Raw genomic sequence first — 18,799 nt, 5'->3', positions numbered from 1 at the left:
CTTATCATCAGTGGAAAGTTTTACTGTGGTGTAGGCTACTCTACCACTTGGAAGTCTAACCTACCTTTAAATTTGAAGGATATTTTTCTGGAGTTTAGAATCTATGTTGGCACTTATTTTCTTTCATTGGAGTTTTCTATTTAAAATACTTAGCTCTGAGAGGGCATCACTGCTGATACTGACCTGAAAGTTGGTGGGTACAGAGACCCTGGAGAAGGTGATGCAGGGTAGATGGCAGAACCCTGCTATGGGAAGAAAGTGAGGGAAAGCACTGTTGGAAAGGGAGGTGTAAAGATTGAATAAAGGTGGGTGTTTTCCCTGTCTTCCCTAACGCTGACCTCAGGTAGATTAAATCACCTCTTCAAACTGATAAGGGAAAGGTGAACCAAGAGTCACTCTTTCTGGGTCTCTCTACAGCTCTCTGAGGTTAAATGAATTGATATTCAAAGATCTGAAAGGATTCTAATACCCAGAAGCCCCTCTAGTTTGTCAGTTCTCTTGTTTGGTGTGATCTGTTCAGTTCTCTGGTCGGGCACTGTCCTGGGTACTGGTAAAAGAGCAGTGAATATAATAGGCATAGCACTCACCCCTCAAAACCCACAGCCTTGGGAGGAAGGGATGTTCAGCAGACACCTCCCAAACAAGTTATTGATGACAACCTTGGTGAGCAATGTGAAAGAACGGTACCGGGAGCTAAGAAAGAATCCACAGGGGTCCAAACAGCCTGGAGAGTGGTGTGGGATTAGGGAATCTGTAGGGTGAACACTAAAGCTTTCATACATAATTATGTGCTCAGATGTATGGAGTCAGGGTACAGATATTTTTCTTTGCATTGTGTAGGTAAATATAATGGATTGAAACCTTTAAAATGCCATATTAAAATCTGTTCTCATTCTTTATGTGGATTAACTTTTGTAGAAATATTTCTATAGAAGCTGAGACTAATGATAGAACTCTGCTATAAGCTGGGAAGGAGGCTGTGGTCAGTTAGGGTGGAGGGAGAGGGAGTGGGGCGGCCCCCACATTAAGGGGTCTTTTTAGATGCAGGACTCCCTTGGATTCTGTGGGTGCCCAGATACACACTGACAAAGTGCTGTGCCCCGCAGCAGGGCCTGGAGGCTCAGCCCTCTGGTAAGTTCATTAGAAGCCCTGAAGAGGCCCTGGCGGTCCAGATTTAGCTTAAAGAGTAAGTTTTCTTTAACTTGGACTTGGAGCTCTCAGAACTCCAGGAGTGGAAGGGTGGAAGGCAGATGCTGGTTGAGGGGACACTGAGGTGGCCTGACTTGACCTTGGAGCTCCAGTGAGAAGCACTGTCTTCGTGTGAGGAGCAAAAGGAGGTCTGGGAGGTATTGGGTATTTGCCACATTGCCTTTCTAATTACGGTTTTACATCTGGCGTTTCCTTGAACTTTACTGCGGCTTGGGGAACGCATATTCAGAAAGGCGAGTTACTTGGCCCAACAGAGATGATGTTCCATTGTCACAGCTGTGGGGTGTTTCCACCTGGAATGTCCACATGAAGGAAACAGTTCTCCACCTTTGCAGCCTGCGGACTCCGGACAGACATTCCTCTGTGACCCTGAACGTGTTTTCATCACTTACCTGGCAGTGGTTTGAGCCCATTGGGCGGTGGGGATCAGGAAGCACAGGGGTCAGCTGGAAAGCCAGGTGTTTGTCCTGTGACTGACAATGGTGACTTTGAAGTGAGCCATTTGCTTGGAAGACTGGCGCTTACCTGCTGCCAGGGCATGCCGGGCATGTGTGCTCTGGGAGCCTTTGTCCATAAACAGTATCACGTGGTGGTGAGGAGTGGGCTGCAGAAACCGACAGCAGGGCTCAGCTTGTGCTTGCTGCATGCCATGTCCTGGTTTCATTTGATTATAGTATTATTATCCTCCTTTTGCCTATGAGGATACTGAGGCCTGGCACTGGTAGGTGGTAGGGTGAAGATGCCACCCCGGGACTGCCTAACATTCAAGTTTTTGCCACCTTCCTCCACCCCATGTTATGCTCTTATCTGTATGAAGATGCTTGGGACATAAAACATGAGTAGGTTCTGAAACCTTCCATGTGACATGAGATCCATTTGTTGTCCCTTTGTCGGTGGGCAACCTTTGCCTCCTTGTGTGAGTCCACTGGTGGTCTTGGTGGTCTTGGTGGTCTGGGGGTGCTGTCTGCATCTTCTGGCTGAGAGTAGGGTGGAAGGACCTACACAGGTGAGTCTGCATCCCCTCCCATGCTCCCCCCTCCCCGGCCCTCCGCCTACATCTGCATCTGAACCCTCTGCCCCGTGCAGCTTTCTCACAACCATGTCCTTCAACCCAGGGAGAAGCAAGCCTGAGCCTCTGGACTGATCCGGGCTTGGCAGGAGGGGGTGCCCCTCTGCACACCCACCCACAGGGCTCATACACATTCTCACACACACCTCTGGCACTCACCTTGTTCTTCCCAACAAGGACACTTTTCATTTGCAAGGTGTCCACATGACCTTGATGTGTTGCGTAACATCATGGTTTCTCCAGAGTGTTAATCCTTTCCCAGTTAGCTGACACATCACAGTGGCCTCCGGTTCCTTTCCCCAGACGAAGAAACCCCATCAGACCCAGTGCATGATCTCTCGGGGCTCCTCCAGCCTCTGAGTTCTGGCCTGACCCTGGGTAAGGCTTCTTGGCAGGCAGAGCCATTTCAGTGGGAGATCCTGTCCTTTGGATTCTCCAGCTTCTCTTGAGCCCCACTGGGGACAGCTCAGGGCTCTGCCCTTCACTGGGTCAGCACCTGCAAGAGGTGGGAACCACGTGGGTCTCATCTGTCACTGTATCCCAGTGCCTCAGAAGCACCTGCCCATGCTGGGTATGCAGTCAGTGTGAGTGTAGACGCCATATCTGCTCTGCTACCTTAGGCAAGTTAATAAACCGCTTAATATCAGAAATGTTCTCTGCTGGGTGCAGTGGCTTACACCTGTAATCCCAAGCACTTTGGGAGGCCAAGGCAAGCAGATTGCTTGAGCTCAAGAGTTCAAGACCAGCCTGGCCAACATGGCGAAACCCCGTTTCTACAAAAAATACAAAAAATTAGCCAAGTGTGGTGGCGTGGGCCTGTGTTCCCAGCTATTTGTGGGGGGGCTGAGGTGGGAGGATCTCTTGAGCCCAGGAGGTTGAGGATGCAGTGAGCTAAAAATGTTCTCATCTCCAAAATGGGAATATTAAAAGTTCTTGGGGATTAAATGAGATAATTCAGGTGATAGCTGCATGCTTGATAAGTAATTTGCAGTTGCCATGGTTAACTCCAAATTCAGGCAATGGAAAACTCTTGCACTGAGCTAGAGCTCAGTGGCAGCCTCAGGAGATGGCACTGAGGGGAACAGATGGTGACTCCTAGGCCACCCTCACCATCTTCACTCTTCCCCTTACACCGTATGTTTTCCTTCTCCATTGCCTCTTCCATTGAATCCCCGGCAGCTACCACCTCTAAAGGACTCTTGGGGATGAGGGGGTTGCTGACTGACTAACATATTGCAGGGGGGATTGAGGGGGTGACCTTTGGAACACCTGGGCCTTTGGGTTGGGCCATCAGCCTAGAACTACTATCATTCTGCTGTTTGATAGCATTGTCTGTTGCTTTGAATGTGAACACAGATGATGAAAGCAAGGATGTCCTTTGAAGCCTAAAACAGTGGTAAAGGATTTGAAAAATACTGTTTCTGTCCAACCCTCATTTTATAGATAATGATAGCATGATCATGAGTCAAATCTGGTGAGGTTCCAAGAGTTTTTGGCAGAGCCGACACAAGACCGGACATTTTTTTGAAGCCAAATTGTATGAACATTGAGAGCTGGAGCTGGTGAAACTTTGTTCAGCTTTTGAGGGATTGGCTGGTAGGGAGGATGAACATTAGAAGAAATCGAAATATTAGAGCCAACTCGGGCACACACCCGCAAATCCTTTTCTCTGTTTGTGTTTTCTTTGCATTTCTCCCATCATTTCCCATTCTGTGCTGTGTACAAGTGGTAAACGTGAATTGGTTAAATATTCAAGCCCCCCTTTTTAAGTGTGAGGATTCGTCATACCTAACAGTAAGAAATAGCTTTCTAAATAAATGGTGTGATAGTATATGGAGGTAGAGCATACTGTAACAGTCAGTTATGGAAGGCATGGACACCACTAGCTCAGTATTCTGTAGCAGGAATATTGACCTGTGATCATGCATTTGGTTTCCATGAAGAGTGAGGGATTTTTTTATTCAGGAAGCAGCTGAATTTATATGGATTAAATGATCATCATGTCTGGGATGATTTGCTTAGAAATCACCTCATAGGAGTGGGATGGGGTGTGGGGGTAAAGATGAAGCAAGATTAGCCATACCTTGAGTTCATTATATGTTGTTCATATTTTTGTATCTGTTTGACATTTTTCATTGCATTCAAAAAAGAATTTCAATGTAAATAAATAATGGTACAGTAGTATATCAAAATATTAGGTAGCCATTAAAATAACACGTGAATAATTTTAATGATGTGGTGTAAGTAAGAAAATCAGGAAGTCAAGCTTCCTAATATGATATGTGTGCATGTGGATAAAATATTTGCGTAAAAAATTATTGGAAGGAAATGAAAACATTAACTGTGGTTATCCTTGGTTGGTTGGATTATGGGTGATTTTCATTCTATTTTCCAAACTTCCTGTAGTAAACAAGAGAAAAAAATCATTTCTTATAATTTGAGAAAAGCTTTTTTGAAAGAAACCTAATCTGCAGTGTGTAAATTAGTGAAGCATTTGTTTCAGTGATCTGTTTTCCATTAAATTGCCCCAGTCAGTGATTAAACGCTTATGCGGTTACTGATCTTGTGGCTGTGGATATGGTTTTGGCCTGTACTGTGCTGCACTCTGCCCTGGACTGTCTTTGCTGGGGTGTGTGCAGGCCAGATCATGGCAAATGCAGTCACGAACACCATTTCACTCATTGGTAACTTCTGCTAACCATGTTTCTTTAACGTGAATTTCCATATAATTTCAGCGAGCTTGACATGATTTCCACAAGGGTGATGGACATTAAGCTTCGGGAGGCTGCAGAAGGCCTTGGGGAGGACAGCACAGGTAAGGCCCTGCTTCCCCTGCTCTGGGGAGGGCACTTGCTTTGTTGTGGGGCAGGGAGAGGGACTGACAGAGGCAGGCCTTTGGGGCTTTCTGTATGAAAAGTGGGGATTTAGTTCCCAGTGTGCTCAGATACCCCCAGGCCCTTCACGCTGTGACTGGGGGCACATGCACATTATTTAAGGCTGCTCGGGGCAGATTTCCTCTGCTTCTGTGTCAAGCACGGGGACCTTTCAGCTCATTTTCCTCCTTTCTGGAGGTAAGCATGTCCCCATGTTTGGCTGACTTGAATGCAAAGGAAGAGGTACTAAATGGATTCATTCACCATCTAAGAATATCCAAAGGCATCAGTAGGAAGCTGAGCAAAGTACCTGATAGCCTGATCATCTGTAAAAAAATAATTACATCAGGAGAGAGCCTTTGATCCCTCTCCTTCATGACTTTTGTTCTGAAGGAGATCTTTAGTATGTTGTCTGCTGAGCTGAGTTCTAGGCCCATGAATCACCATCTCATAAGACTTTCTAAGAGTTCTCCAATTATGTCATTGGTTTACTGTTATCCAAATATTGCTATTTATGTCCTGATAGAGTTGTAAAATTGACATTAAAAAATTAATCTCCCCACAATGTACCTTTTCTCTAGATTTGCCATTCATATACTCCCTTTATTTTGGTGACCAAGGCCTCCATCTCTCTCTTATTTACACTGAAAATGCCAGTAGTGATTTTCTTTGATATAGTTCAGGAGAAACAGCTCCCAATAATATTAAATCCTAGCTGCTAGCCACTAGCTTCAGATACTAATTTCAGCAAATACTCCATTTCAGATATTAAAGATAGATTTTTTCTTATTATTTCATATTAGAACCATTTTTCCTCTGTCACATTTCAATGGATACCAAATAAATCCAAATATAAGGTGAGGGTTTTTAGATGAGCCCTGAAAAAAAATTGAGTTTCACATTTTCTCATATTATGGGACACTGAATTATTACTTATTGTAAACAATAAATGTTTGAATAAATATTTCATCAGCCTGAAATGACCTCAATAAGTGCTAGTTCTGAATACATACAGAGGTTACTGAAGAAAAGGGACTAAGTTTTCTTTTTTTCAAATAGTGATCTTAAGTTATTCAGACCAACCCTCTTCCACTTAAAATTTAAAATTCTAGATAAGAATATTCTTTAAAATATTTTTCAAAGTAAGAAATAATAAGGCCAGAATTGAAAGGAAAATGGGCCAGGCACAGCGGCTTCCACCTGTAATCCCAGCACTCTGAGAGGCCGAGGTGGGAGGATTGCTTGAGCCCAGGAGTTCAAGACCAGCTTGGGCATAGTGAGACTCTGTCTCTACAAAAAAATTTAAAAATTGGCTGGACATGGTGGCACACACCTGTAGTCCCATCTACTTGGGAGGCAGAGGTGGGAGGATTGTGTGAGCCTAGGAGGTTAATGCTACAGTGGGCCATGATTATGCCACTGCACTCCAGCCTGGGCAACAAGCAAGACCCTGCCTCCAAAAAAAAAAAAAAGAAGAAGAAGAAAGAAAAGAAAAGGAAAATGGCAACCTGGAGAGACAACAGAGTATAAAAGCCACTTTGCCCTTAGATCATTTACCAGTCTTGGAAATTTTCATGTCTTCATGGGGTGGAAGGTGAGAGCAAGGGTCAAATATCAAACGACAAGGCCTGTATAATGTAGGCTGTCTAATAGAAGACACTCTCTACAATAAAGGGGAGCCAAGGAGCTACCAAATCTGAGTAGGTGTGAACTAGGGGTAAACCAACCCTTTTGTAGATTTGTAGCTTGAGTTTGCATCATTTGGGTAATTCAGAGAACCTCAACCCTTGAACTTGATTAATATTGCTTCTAGACTGGATGCAAACCCAGGTACTTTTCAGAAGCAAATAACATTCACTAAAGGAAGGTGCCTTCTATTTAGACTTCAAATTATCACAGAAAATATATTTTCAGTATCATGACAAGCATATAGTCAGTAATAACCAGGCATCTAAGGCAACAGGATACTATGAATGAGAACCAACATGCTGTATGTTGAATGGTGCTCCCACCAAATCCATATGTCGAAGTCTCCAGTATCTCCAAATGTGGCTTTACTTGAAGACTGGGTTATTGCAGATGTAATTTGTTAAGATGAGATCATATTGGAGTAGTGTGGGCTCATATTTGTTAAGATGAGATCATATTGGAATAGGGTGGGCTCCTACTCCAATATGATGGGTGTCCTTATGAAAAGGGGAACTATGGCCACAGATATGCACACAAGGAGAACACCATGCACACATGAAGGCAGACAAGAGAAACAGACACATGAAGGCATCAATATCAGAATTACCAAATACATCCTATAAAACAACTATGCATACTATGTTTGAAGATAATAAAAAAGTTTTAAAACATCCAGGGAAAAGTGGCATAGCACCCAGCCAGTGCAATAAAGCCAGAGAAAGGAATAAAAGGCAGAGAGGTGGAAGAAAGAAATAAAACTATCTCTATTTATAGATGACATGTTTATACAACATATACAAAAAAGCACTTAGAACTGTTACACAAATATACCGAGATTGCAGTGCACTCTTTAAAAGTCAGTTATGGAAGACAGACATACAGTTAGCTCAATATTCTGTAGCAAGAATACTGACAAGTAATAATTTAATTTGATTTCCATGAGGAGTCAGAGATTTTTTTCATTTAGGAAAAAGCCAAGTCCATAGAGGTGAAATAATAATAGTGCCTGGGATGATTTTTTTTGAAATAACCCATCAGAAACAGGGAGGAGGAGGGGTAAAGATGAAGCAATCAAAATCCCAGCAAAACTTTTTGCAGATATTGGCAAGCTGACTTGAAAATGTATGTGAAGAAGCAAAGAACTAGAATAGGTAAAACAATTTTGAAAAAACATAAAGTTGAAAGCTTCATACTACCTGTTTTTAAGACTTACTATAAAGCTGCAGTAATCAAGACAGTATGGTATTGGCAAAAGGATAGATACACAGAGACAGAAGGGAGTAGAGTTCAAAAACAGACCCATACAAATATGGTTAATTAATTTTGACAAAATTGCAAAATCAATTCATTGGATAAAAGATAATATTCCAACAAATGGTGCTGTAACAATTGGACATTCATATGCAAATATACCTCACAGATTATACAAAAATTAACTCAAAATGTGTCATAAACCTAAATGTAAAACTCTAACGCCTTTAAAAGAAAGCATAGCAGAAGATAGTTATGACCAAGGATTAGGCAAGGGTTCTTAGATATAATACCTGAATCCATAAAAGGAAAAAATGTATAAATTGGACTTCATCAAAACTTTAAAATATGGTCTGTGAAAGACACTTTTAAGAAAATGAAAAGACAAGTCACAGACTAGAAGAAAATATTTATAAATCACACTTGATATAGGACTTACATCCAGCATATATTTAGAACTCTCAAAATTCAAAAATAAGAAAACAAATAACTCAGTTACAAAATGGGGAGCAAATTTTAAATCATGCTTTACCTAAGAAGATGTACAAAATGGCAAAGAAGCATATGAAGAAATGCTCAATATCTATAATCATTAGGTAATGCAGAGTAAAACTGCAATGAGATACCAGGACACACGTATTAAACGTCTGGAGAAAACCACCATAACAACAGGAGCTGATAAGGATGCATTGAAGGGAGGAATGCAAAATGGCACAGCCACTTTGGAAAAACATTTTGGCAGCTCCTTGTGAAGTTAAACATACACTTAGCCTATGACTCAGCAATCCAACTCCTAGGTATTTACTGGGCAGTGAAAACTTATGTTTACACACACACACACACACACACACACACACACACACAAACTATAGCAACTTATTTATAATTGCTAAAAACTGAAAAGAACCCAGATGTCTTTCAGCAGGTTGAAATGGTTCAACAAACTGGTATATCCACACAATGGAGTTCTACTCAGCAATAAAAAGGAATAGGCTATTGATCTGGTATAACATGAGTGAGCCTCTAATGCATTGTGCTGAGTGAAAGAAGCTGGAATGAAAAGGGGACATACTGTGTGACTTAATCTACATGACATTCTAGAAAAGGCAAAATTATAGGAACAGAGAAGTTATAAGTGGTTGCCAGGGGTTAAAGGTAGCGGGGAATGTTGGACTACAAAAGGGCAGCATGAGGACAGTCCTGTATCTTGATTGTGGTGATAATTATACAACTCTATGTACACCAAAAAGAATGAATTTTACCGTGTGTAATTTAAAAAATAAGTTTTTTTTACAAGGTATAGCGGATTTGAAAAACAAAGGAATTTTTAGAAATAAATGTAATAATTAAAATTTTATTTTAAATAAGTTCATTTAAAATAAATGTAATTATTAAAATTTTATTTTAAATTAAATTTATGTAAAATAAATGTAATTATTAAAATGCGTGGTTATAACAACAGATTACATCAGCTCAAGATAGATCACAGGAAATTATGCAAAATGTACCATAGAATGGTAAAAAGATGGAAAATAAAGGAAAGGGAACAAGGGGCATAGAGAGTAAGTGAAAGGGTGTAATACCCATTTGAGCACAGTCTCGGGAGGAGAGAAGGGCTGAGAATTTTCTGGATTTTATCAAAAAGATGACCCAACCCACAGGTTTAAGAAACCCAATGAATCCCAAGAAGGATAAATCAAAGAAAATCCATATGAGGTAAAACTGCAGAAAACCAAAGAGGATGAAAAATCTTAAAATGAGTCTGAGAAAAAGAGACAGATTACCTGGACAGGAGCAAAAAAGTAACTTATGCCTAACTTCTCAACACAATAGAAGCCACAAAACAGGGAAATAATAGCCTAAATATCCTTAGGAAAAGTAACTGCCAAACTATTACGCTGGTACAAAAGTAATTGCTGTTTTTGCCATTAAATGTCATGGCAAGAGCTGCAATTACTTTTGCACCAACTTAATAGAACGTTATACCTAGGAAAAAATGTATTTCAGGAGTGATGGAGAAATGAAAGCATTTTCGGACAAACAAAAACTGGGTTGGCCCCAGTAAGCCCCCAGTAAAACAGATTCTACACAAATGCACCCTCAGGCCAAAGGAAGATCTTCCTAGTGGACAATCTGGAATATGAGAAGGAATGAAGAGCAAAGAAAACAATAAGCAAGTGGATACACCTGTGTGAACATGAAATAACTTCGAGGTTTTTTTTAACAATCAGAATTAAAACAATAGTGCATAAAAATGGAATTAAAGTATTCGAAGGTCCTTGTATTGACCTGTAATCAAATGTGTAGTATAACCACTGAAAGAGGAAGCAAAAGGTAAGGGTTATAAACTAGCAATGGAATAAATGGAATTTTTTTTAAAGATCAATTAAAAAACACATAAGATGATAGACTTGTTTTTATTAATATATCAGTAATTACAGTGAGTGTGAGTGGACTAGTTAAATTAATTAATTACATTAATTGTTCCAGTTAAGAGTTAAAGATTATTAGATTAGATACCAAAACTCTAAATATATGAATCTTAACTATAAAGGTTCAGAAAAGTAAGGATAGTAATAGGATACAGAAGCCTATACTTTGTGAACACTGGGTAAAGGGAAGATGGTGTAGCTACACAGATTGAGTATCCCTTATCCAAAATGCTGGGATCAGGAGTGTTTCAGATTTCAGATTTTTTCAGATTTTGGAATACTTGCATTATGCTTACCAGTTGAGGGTCTCAAATTTGAAAATCCAAAGTCTGAAATGCTCCAGTGAGCATTTCCTTTAAGCATCAGGTGGGAGCTCAAAAAGTTTCAGATTTTGCAGCATTTCAGATTTTCAGATTTGGTCTGATCGACCTGTACTAATAGCAGTCAAAATGAAATGTAAGGCAAAAAACATAACTAAACATAAAAAGGGCCATTTCACAAAATGTTCATTTCCCCAGCAAGATAATAATTTTACATTTCTATGCATTAACATATTATAGAAAGTTGTATTACAGCTCTTTTAGAATTTGTCTAGAAGGCTTTCCGGTTTTTGCAGGAAAGCAACCTCCCCAACAAATAAAGTTGTAAAGTGGAAATTGACAACTAAAGATAAATAAGAAAATCTATAAGCAGAGTGGGGTTATTTTTAACACATCTCTCTCAGTAATTGATAAAACAAACGCTTTAAAAATCGGTAAAGATATAAAATACTTGGACAACACAATTTAAAAAAAAGATTTTGTTCTAATTGACATATGTAGAACACTGAAGAAAATGCATTATTTTCAAGCACACCAGGAACATTTTTAAAAATTGTTCATATGGTAAGCCATAAAGCAAGTATCAACAGATTTGAATGGGTTCAAATCATTCAGAGTATGTTATTGGACCACAGTGCAATTAAGCTAGAAATCAATAACAGATAGAAAATCCTCAACTGCTTGGAAATGAAGAAGACGTACTTTCCTAAATAACCCGTAAGTCTAAGAAGGTATCATAATAGAAGTTAGAAAATATTTTTGACCAAACAATAATGAAAATACTGCATTTTAAAACACGTAGATGCAGCTAAAACAGACTTAGAGGGAAATGCATTGCCTTAAATATTATATTATAAAAACAGGAAAGTCTAAAAAGTAATAAACCAAATGTTTATCTCAAGAAGTTTAAGAAAATAGCAAAGTAAACCTGCAGAAAGTAGGAAGGAAAGAATAAAGATAAGAACAGAAATTAATACAATATGAAATAAACATTCAACTGAAAGAATTAACAAAGCAAAACTTTTTTAAGGCAATTAAAATTGATAAGCCTGTGGTGCAATTGATCAAGGAACAAAGAAGAGGCACATTTATGATAATTAATATCAGGGTGAGAAAAGAGGCATCAATCACTATAGATGTTGTGAATGCTTGAAAGATAAAAAGATATTATTAATAATTTTTTGCCAATACATTTGAAAATTTGGAAAAAATACATTTTCAGAAAAATGTTACTTAAAAAAACAGATTCAGGAAGTAGAAAAATGGACTAGTCCTGTCACCATTAAAGAAATCGAATTACAAAGCCTAGTAGGAGAAGAAATATAGTTTGAACAAATGGATGGCTAAGCCCTGCCAGTGGAACAAAGGTGTACAGCAGTTATGCTTGAGCTCTGCCAGTTACACTTGAGGAGACCATTAATGCTGTAAGCAGCATTTTTGATGGTCATGATATTGAGGCTGTGTATCTATTCAGGCCTTCGAGGATGCATACCAATTTGTTGACTAGGCAAAAGCCACAGGGTGTCCTGACCAAATGCAGAAAACTCTTAAGAATCTTTCAAAATCATAAATGCTCATTGAGAACCATCTACTAACAACATAAACATTTTTTACGATTATAAAGTTGAGAACACTTCCACACTAGAAGGTGAGAAAACTAGAAGGTGCTGTAGAACTGACTTATCCTTGGAGAGGGATTTGTTCTACCTGTAATGATGTAGGAACTCCTACTAAAGTAATCCTAAGTAATTCTCCCCATGAGAGTAAGACCATGTAAGCTTCCCAAGGAGGCAATAATATAAACACAACAGAAAGATCCTGGGTTTTTTAAGGAATTCAGTTTATTAAATTATTATAAAAAGTAATAAATTGTGCAAATTTTCAGGATGTATTAGACAGCATCCTGGTAGTCTACGATGCTGCATCCCTCCACTGTCAGTTCTGTAACTATTCCGGGAAAGGAATGAACTTTGCTGAGCAACTAATGTGAAATCATGGAAACCTGGGTATGATAGAATTCATGGGAGAGAATGAAGCTGTCACCAGAGGAGCAATCACAAAATGTTGAAAAGTGTGGTGAATTCTAATAATCCAGGAAGCATGGCAGAGTTGGGCTCAGCCTGGCCACACCCCTCCCCTGCAGGGATGACCAGTCTCATTGTTTTTCTCACCAAAAGTCATTAGCTCATCATGCAGTTGGTGCCCCACAGACCCACCTTCTTGCCCATGAGGTTGGGCCTCCTCTGATTGTCCTTGATGCTGTATTCACACTAGACAAAGCAATTCATAATTTTTATTTTATTTTATTTTTTTTGAGAGAGGGTCTTGCTCTGTCACTAAGGCTGGAGTGTAGCGGTGCAATCATAGCTCACTGCAGCCTCAAATATATTTTAGAAATCAAAACTTGATTATACATGAGAGGAAAGTTGCTAATTTTGATTCTGTGATCATCTTCCAAAGTGTTCTTGTGTCTTTTATTTAAATATCCTAAATAAAAAGAAACAAGATGTGTTTTCAGGTATGCAAAACTGGTATACCATGTACTTTTGCGAAGTAAAAGGACTTTTCAGAAGCAGATAACTGATGCATGGATGGAAATCTTGCTTTCTCTCTTTTACGTGCCTGTTGCATACATGCACATAAACACACACTGTAACAGTCTTATTTATTATTTTTTTCTCTAATCTGTATAGGAAAGAAAAAATCTAAATTCAAAACTTTTAAGAAGTTTTTTGGGAAGAAGAAGAGAAAAGAATCGCCGTCGTCCACAGGAAGTAGCACCTGGAAACAAAGTCAGACGAGGAATGAGGTCATTGCCATCGAATCCGGGCCAGTGGGCTACGACTCCGAGGATGAGCTGGAGTAAGTTGCATTTTACATCCCTCGGGCCAGGAGCACCTAAATACATGATTTCATTATCCTGGTAACTTGCTGGATTTCTGAGCCCCCTTTCCTCCTGGGTAATTCCATTAGAGGTTCTTCCATAGAAGTTGTGTTTTCTGTCTTTTCAAACCTAGGGATGGAGAATGCTGTGTGTGTTTAAGTCCACAATAACTGTGGGAGAGGAGGTACTATATGCCATTTTATAAACGGACAAAATAAGCCCTAGATAAAATTTAGAACTTGCCCAACATCCTACAGCTGAAAGTGACAGGATCAGGATAGGGGCCCTGGTTTAACTTGACTTAAAACTCTTTTGAGGACCTAGATGCTATATTAGAAAAATGCATTTCTCTAAAGTTGAACGTTAAGTAATCTAATCAGAATATTTTCACTTGATGGGGGTGGGGAGGGGGCGCTCCTTGCTATCTTAGAAAAAAAATCATCCAAAAATATCATAAAGAACAGACCCAATAAGCACAAAAAACTGGGGAGGTCTAGTAAAGAAATCCTTATTTTTGTAACTTGTGTTTCATTAAAATATAGTTACAGTACATATGCTGCAGTTATTCTAGCAGTTATTCCTGTGACTAAGAGGAAACGAAACAGATTTGTTGCTATGCTAGCTTTTACCTTTTTTTTTTTAAGACAACGCTGGCCCTTTAAGGATAGAACTCTTCAGAGAACATAATATCCCTCAGGTTTGGGGTACAGACCACGCTGAGATGGGTCCCAGGCTTGAGCATCCCAATAGTGGTGTCCTGTCCCCTCTCTTGCTCTCGCCCCTCCCCAGCCTCCTTGCCTGTTTTTTAAAGGAGTAGAAATTTTGCTGGCCACTTGGTGGCACCAGATGACTGGAAAGGAAAGATTGGAACCTTTTTTTTTTTTTTTTTTCAGTTTTGGGTTTGATTTAGGTTTTGATTGTTTTTGGTGCTAGCAGGGAATGTAATAGACTCACATTGCACCATGTGAAGTGTGGAAGGGATATACTGTGCATGCATTTTTTTTTTTTTTTTGAGACGGAGTCTCGCTCTGTCGCCCAGGCTGGAGTGCGGTGGCGCGATCTTGGCTCACTGCAAGCTGCGCCTCCCGGGTTCACGCCATCCTCCTGCCTCAGCCTCCCGAGTAGCTGGGACTACAGGCACCCGCCACCACGCCTGGCTAAATTTTTTTTGTATTTTCAGCAGAGACGGGATTTCACCGTGTTAGCCAGGATGGTCTCGATTTCCTGACCTCGCGATCCGCCCGCCTCGGCCTCCCAAAGTGCTGGGATTACAGGCGTGATCCACGGCGCCCGGCGTGCATGCATTTTTTTTAGGCGGTTCTCTGAACTCTTGGGGAACGAGATGTTATCGCGATAATATTACTAATTATTCAATGTCATCACTTTGCAAGCCCCAGGGAAACTCTAACACCCACCCCCATCCACCCCTGTCTCTTGACTGGAGCACACAGTTCTGGTGTTGGAGAGACAGGCCTGGGAGTGGCCCCTCCAACCACAGACAGGAGCCCAGCCAGAGGGGCAAGCTGGGATGAATTGTCCTGTCCGCTTGCTGATGTCCTCCCTGTCACAGGAGCCCATGGAAAGTGGAGACGGTGTGCTTTTTATCTTGATATTCCCAGCACCTTGCAGGGAGCTGGCCCTCAGTGACTGGTAACAGTTTGCTGGTTTTGATGCTAGGCAAGGAAGATTGGGAATGGAGCATGATGAGGCCTGGGAAGTGCAAATGACATTTTTAGAGAGCAGCACAGAGGAAGAGGCAAGTACTGCTTGGCCTGTGGGAGAGTCTGCGGCAACTTCTCATCCATCACTGTGGGGAAAACAGCTCCATTTACTAAGGCACATTAGTGCGAGCAAACCACATGGGACCCTGTGGGTTGAATAAAGTGACGCCCATTTATCGTGTCTGTGTCTGTGCGGTTGTGCTTCTTAAGTCTGTTAATCTATAACGATTTCCTTTTGCCCTCTCCCTTTGTTTCACGTCATTGATCTGAAGGAAGAGCAGGGCCATGTGTCCTGCAGAATGTCCCATATTCTGGCTTTGCTTTCTCTTGGTGTGACTCAACTCTTTCCTATATTCTCCCAATTCCCGGTACATCATTCGATGGATCCAGATTCTGTCAGGTTCAAGCAGGTGCTGGTTGTTGTCACATCCCATGATGAGTCACCTGCTTTCTGAGCAGTGGGTTCAGGGTGTGTCACTGTCGTCCCTCCACCAACCTTCACCTGACAGTTTTAACACCTGGTGATGATCTGTTATTTTGTCACAAAGTGGTGGTTTTTCTAATTCTATCATTCACTGTACACTTGCTAACTGAAATTCTTTGATGAAGAACTTTCCTTCATCAATTGCTTGGTTGCTCCGAAATACAATTTGTAAAGTCAGGATCATGCTTGGCTCTCCTTTTATTGATCCACCCTCAGAGTAATGACGTGGCCCCCTAGCAACTCCTGACAGTGGCCAGTGGGTTTTGTTTTTTTCTTTTTTTTTCCAAATATCATTGGGAATGCATTACTTTTTATATATTTGATTTGCTTTAATCCATGACAGTCTTTATTCATTTTAATGCTCAAGTTGTTCCATCTTAGGCTGTTGAGAGTCACTTGAAATTCGCTCCGTCTTTTGACATGACCCCATTCATCTTTGATGGCTTCCTTACTTTCTTGTCCAATGAGAAATCTCAGGTTTATTTGGTATATTTTCTTCCCCTGACCTGGAATCAGCACTTTCTTGACAGGACCCTGGCTCCCTCCTTGTGGTGTGAAATGGCTTTTAAAGACCTCAGTCCAGCTGCCAGGGGCGATGATTACTAATTGGCTGTCACTGATTCTAAACCTTTCCAGTGGATATAGCTAGGAAATGGTTTATTTTTCAAGAGAAAAATTAACCATTAATTTGCTGATATTTCCAATTCAAGTTTAATAAAACAACATTTTTACTTCTTTAATTCTTTGTATTCTCTTTTCTCTTACACTTGAAACCAGGGCTCCTTATGATATTAACAAAATGACTTATTTTCTTTAACCTATCATATATTTATAATAATTTCCTTATCCCTTCCCTATATGGAAGTTAAAAATATTATAAATACTTTTCTGCACACTGTCTTATAATCAGTGTTATTGCTAATAAAACTACAGAGTGCAATTTCATATTTTTGGTTTTTTAATTATTATTACTACTAATAAGATTAGTGAGTGCAATTTGATATCTTTGGTTTTCTTGTTGTTGTTCCTAGAATGTATTCTATCTTGGATGTGGAGTCAAAGTCACTTGAAATTATTATATTCTCTGTGTGGTCATGCCAACAATCTGATATAAAATTAGATTTATTTGTTTGTGTTTGTTTTCTAGTTTTAGAGATTGTTTTATTTCTCTTTTTGTTTGGTTTCATCTTTTAATTATATAAAACGTTTGCATAGTTTCAAAGACAAAGTTGTCAATGTAGGTATCTTTGCACTATGTCTCCTCATCTAGTTATTTCTTTCCCCCAAAGAAAACCACTTTTATTTATTTGTTATTTATTCTTCTATTTTCATTTTTTTAAAATATAAGAAACACACACACATGTTCAGATAATATCCAGGCCCCCCTTTCCCATGCAGTGCTGACATGCTGTGAACATTGTTCTGCAGTGGTTGTTATTTATTGCACTTAGTAGTATCTGGTGATGCCTGCATGCAGCGTGTAGAGACCTTCCTGCCCATCAGACCAGCTGTGGAGTCCTCCATTGTATGACATTCATGGTTGATTCAGTTAGATGCCTACTGAGGGGCACTAGGTGTTTCCCATCTTTCACTCTTTTGAATATTGCTGTAGTGAATGGCCTTGCACATGTGCCATTTTGTGTTTTTGCAGAGGCCTCTTTATGCTGCCTCCACTCCTCATTACATCCAAAGCGGAGGTGCTTGGGTGGTGGTTGTGGTTCCCAGAGAGTGTGGGCCATGGGCTGTCCACTGGGGGAGGGATATCCAAGTGTGTGTGTGACCTTTGGGTTAAGAGCTGCCCTTGGCAGGGAGGTCCTGATTCCTTCAGTTGGCGTAGTTCCCTCCCTGGCATGTGAGGACACACACATCCTGGGAGCCATGGGTTCCCACTTGCAAGCTTACTGTTGCAGGCGTGAGAGTTTAATTAGAAGGAAGCATTATTAGCCAACACAGTTTGATCTACAGTTGGACAGGGCCACACCTCAGAGTCCTTAATGCCCCACAGTGGACAGGATGCCCAGGGTAGGGGAGTGGCAGGAGGGAAGTGGGTGGGGTGGTGCACACAAGATGTCCAGTGTGTGCAGAGGCAGGCTTTCCTTCCTTCATCATCAGATCTCAGTCATCTCCTTCCACCTATTGTTCAGGCAGCCAGTGCTGCTAGGAAAACTTGACAGCTAATTCCCACATCCTTTTAGGACATTTTGTGAATGTCCTGGGGGTTCAGTCCCAGATCAGATTCTTGAGTTCAGAGCTGAGGAAAGGACTGGGATGGCGATGACAGAAGGCCACCATCTCTGCTCCAGGATCTAGGCAGGCACAGAGGTTTTGGTCACACAGATGGTGCCAGGTCATAAAAAGAGGCCATGGCTTTGCAGATTTGCAGTTCTCATTTCAAACCACCCACGGATGTATGTCTTGGTCTGTGTGAGGTGTGTGTGAGGATGCGTTCATCAAGCAGGCCCTCAGCCTGCTGCACACACAGCCTTCAGCCCACGGAGGGCCTGCATGTTTGCCCACAAGGCGTGACCTCACCCTCCCTGGGGCAGCCGGGACAGGCCTCCTCAGAAGCTGGCCGTGCCAGCCCCTCCCCTCTGCAGGCTTGCTGTCTTGCACCTCACACCTTATCAAACCTTGGTTTTTTCATTAATACAAAAATAATTCACACAACCTTTAGATCTCCTAGGAAAATTCCTATCTCTGCAATGCTCCAAATAGTTGACTGGCATTTGACAGCGTGTGGATGAACTGAAGTCAGGGACCACTGAAATGTAAATGCAGCAGAGGGAGTGTTGTTTGATGTTCTGTTCACTCACATCCCTCTTTCTCATTCTGAGCCCCCCAGGGGTCAGTAAGATGGAGGTGGGCAG

At 40.9% G+C, this 18,799-nt stretch overlaps 1 protein-coding gene and 1 pseudogene across 10 annotated transcripts in view, besides 1 other annotated feature; both read left to right on the top strand.

The window, feature by feature from the left end:
* Positions 1-18,799, top strand: part of CRACDL (CRACD like) — a 142,380-nt gene that overhangs the window by 84,402 nt on the left and 39,179 nt on the right. For 9 of the 10 annotated variants that reach the window (NM_207362.3, XM_005263926.4, XM_017003972.2 and 6 more), the window contains 2 exons: positions 5,014-5,093; positions 13,537-13,705. In NM_207362.3, coding sequence (NP_997245.2) covers positions 5,024-5,093; positions 13,537-13,705 — 239 coding nt within the window. In that variant the 5' untranslated portion in view covers positions 5,014-5,023. Of the gene's footprint in view, positions 1-5,013; positions 5,094-13,536; positions 13,706-18,799 lie in introns of those variants that run through there. The other variant, XM_011511096.1, reaches the window with a different exon arrangement.
* On the top strand, positions 11,089-11,144 carry RNU7-46P (RNA, U7 small nuclear 46 pseudogene; annotated as a pseudogene).
* Positions 14,384-14,678: a silencer, noted in NCBI's record as "tiled region #14605; K562 Repressive non-DNase unmatched - State 13:Ctcf". NCBI's record gives its function as "represses a minimal TATA promoter and a strong SV40 promoter by Sharpr-MPRA in K562 cells {active_cell/tissue: K562}" and the evidence as "EXISTENCE:reporter gene assay evidence [ECO:0000049][PMID:27701403]".

This window comes from Homo sapiens, chromosome 2, assembly GCF_000001405.40.
Source record: "Homo sapiens chromosome 2, GRCh38.p14 Primary Assembly".
NCBI classification, from domain to species: domain Eukaryota; kingdom Metazoa; phylum Chordata; class Mammalia; order Primates; family Hominidae; genus Homo; species Homo sapiens.
The sequence above is the reverse complement of the archived record's forward strand: the minus strand, read 5'-3'. Positions and strand labels throughout refer to the sequence as shown.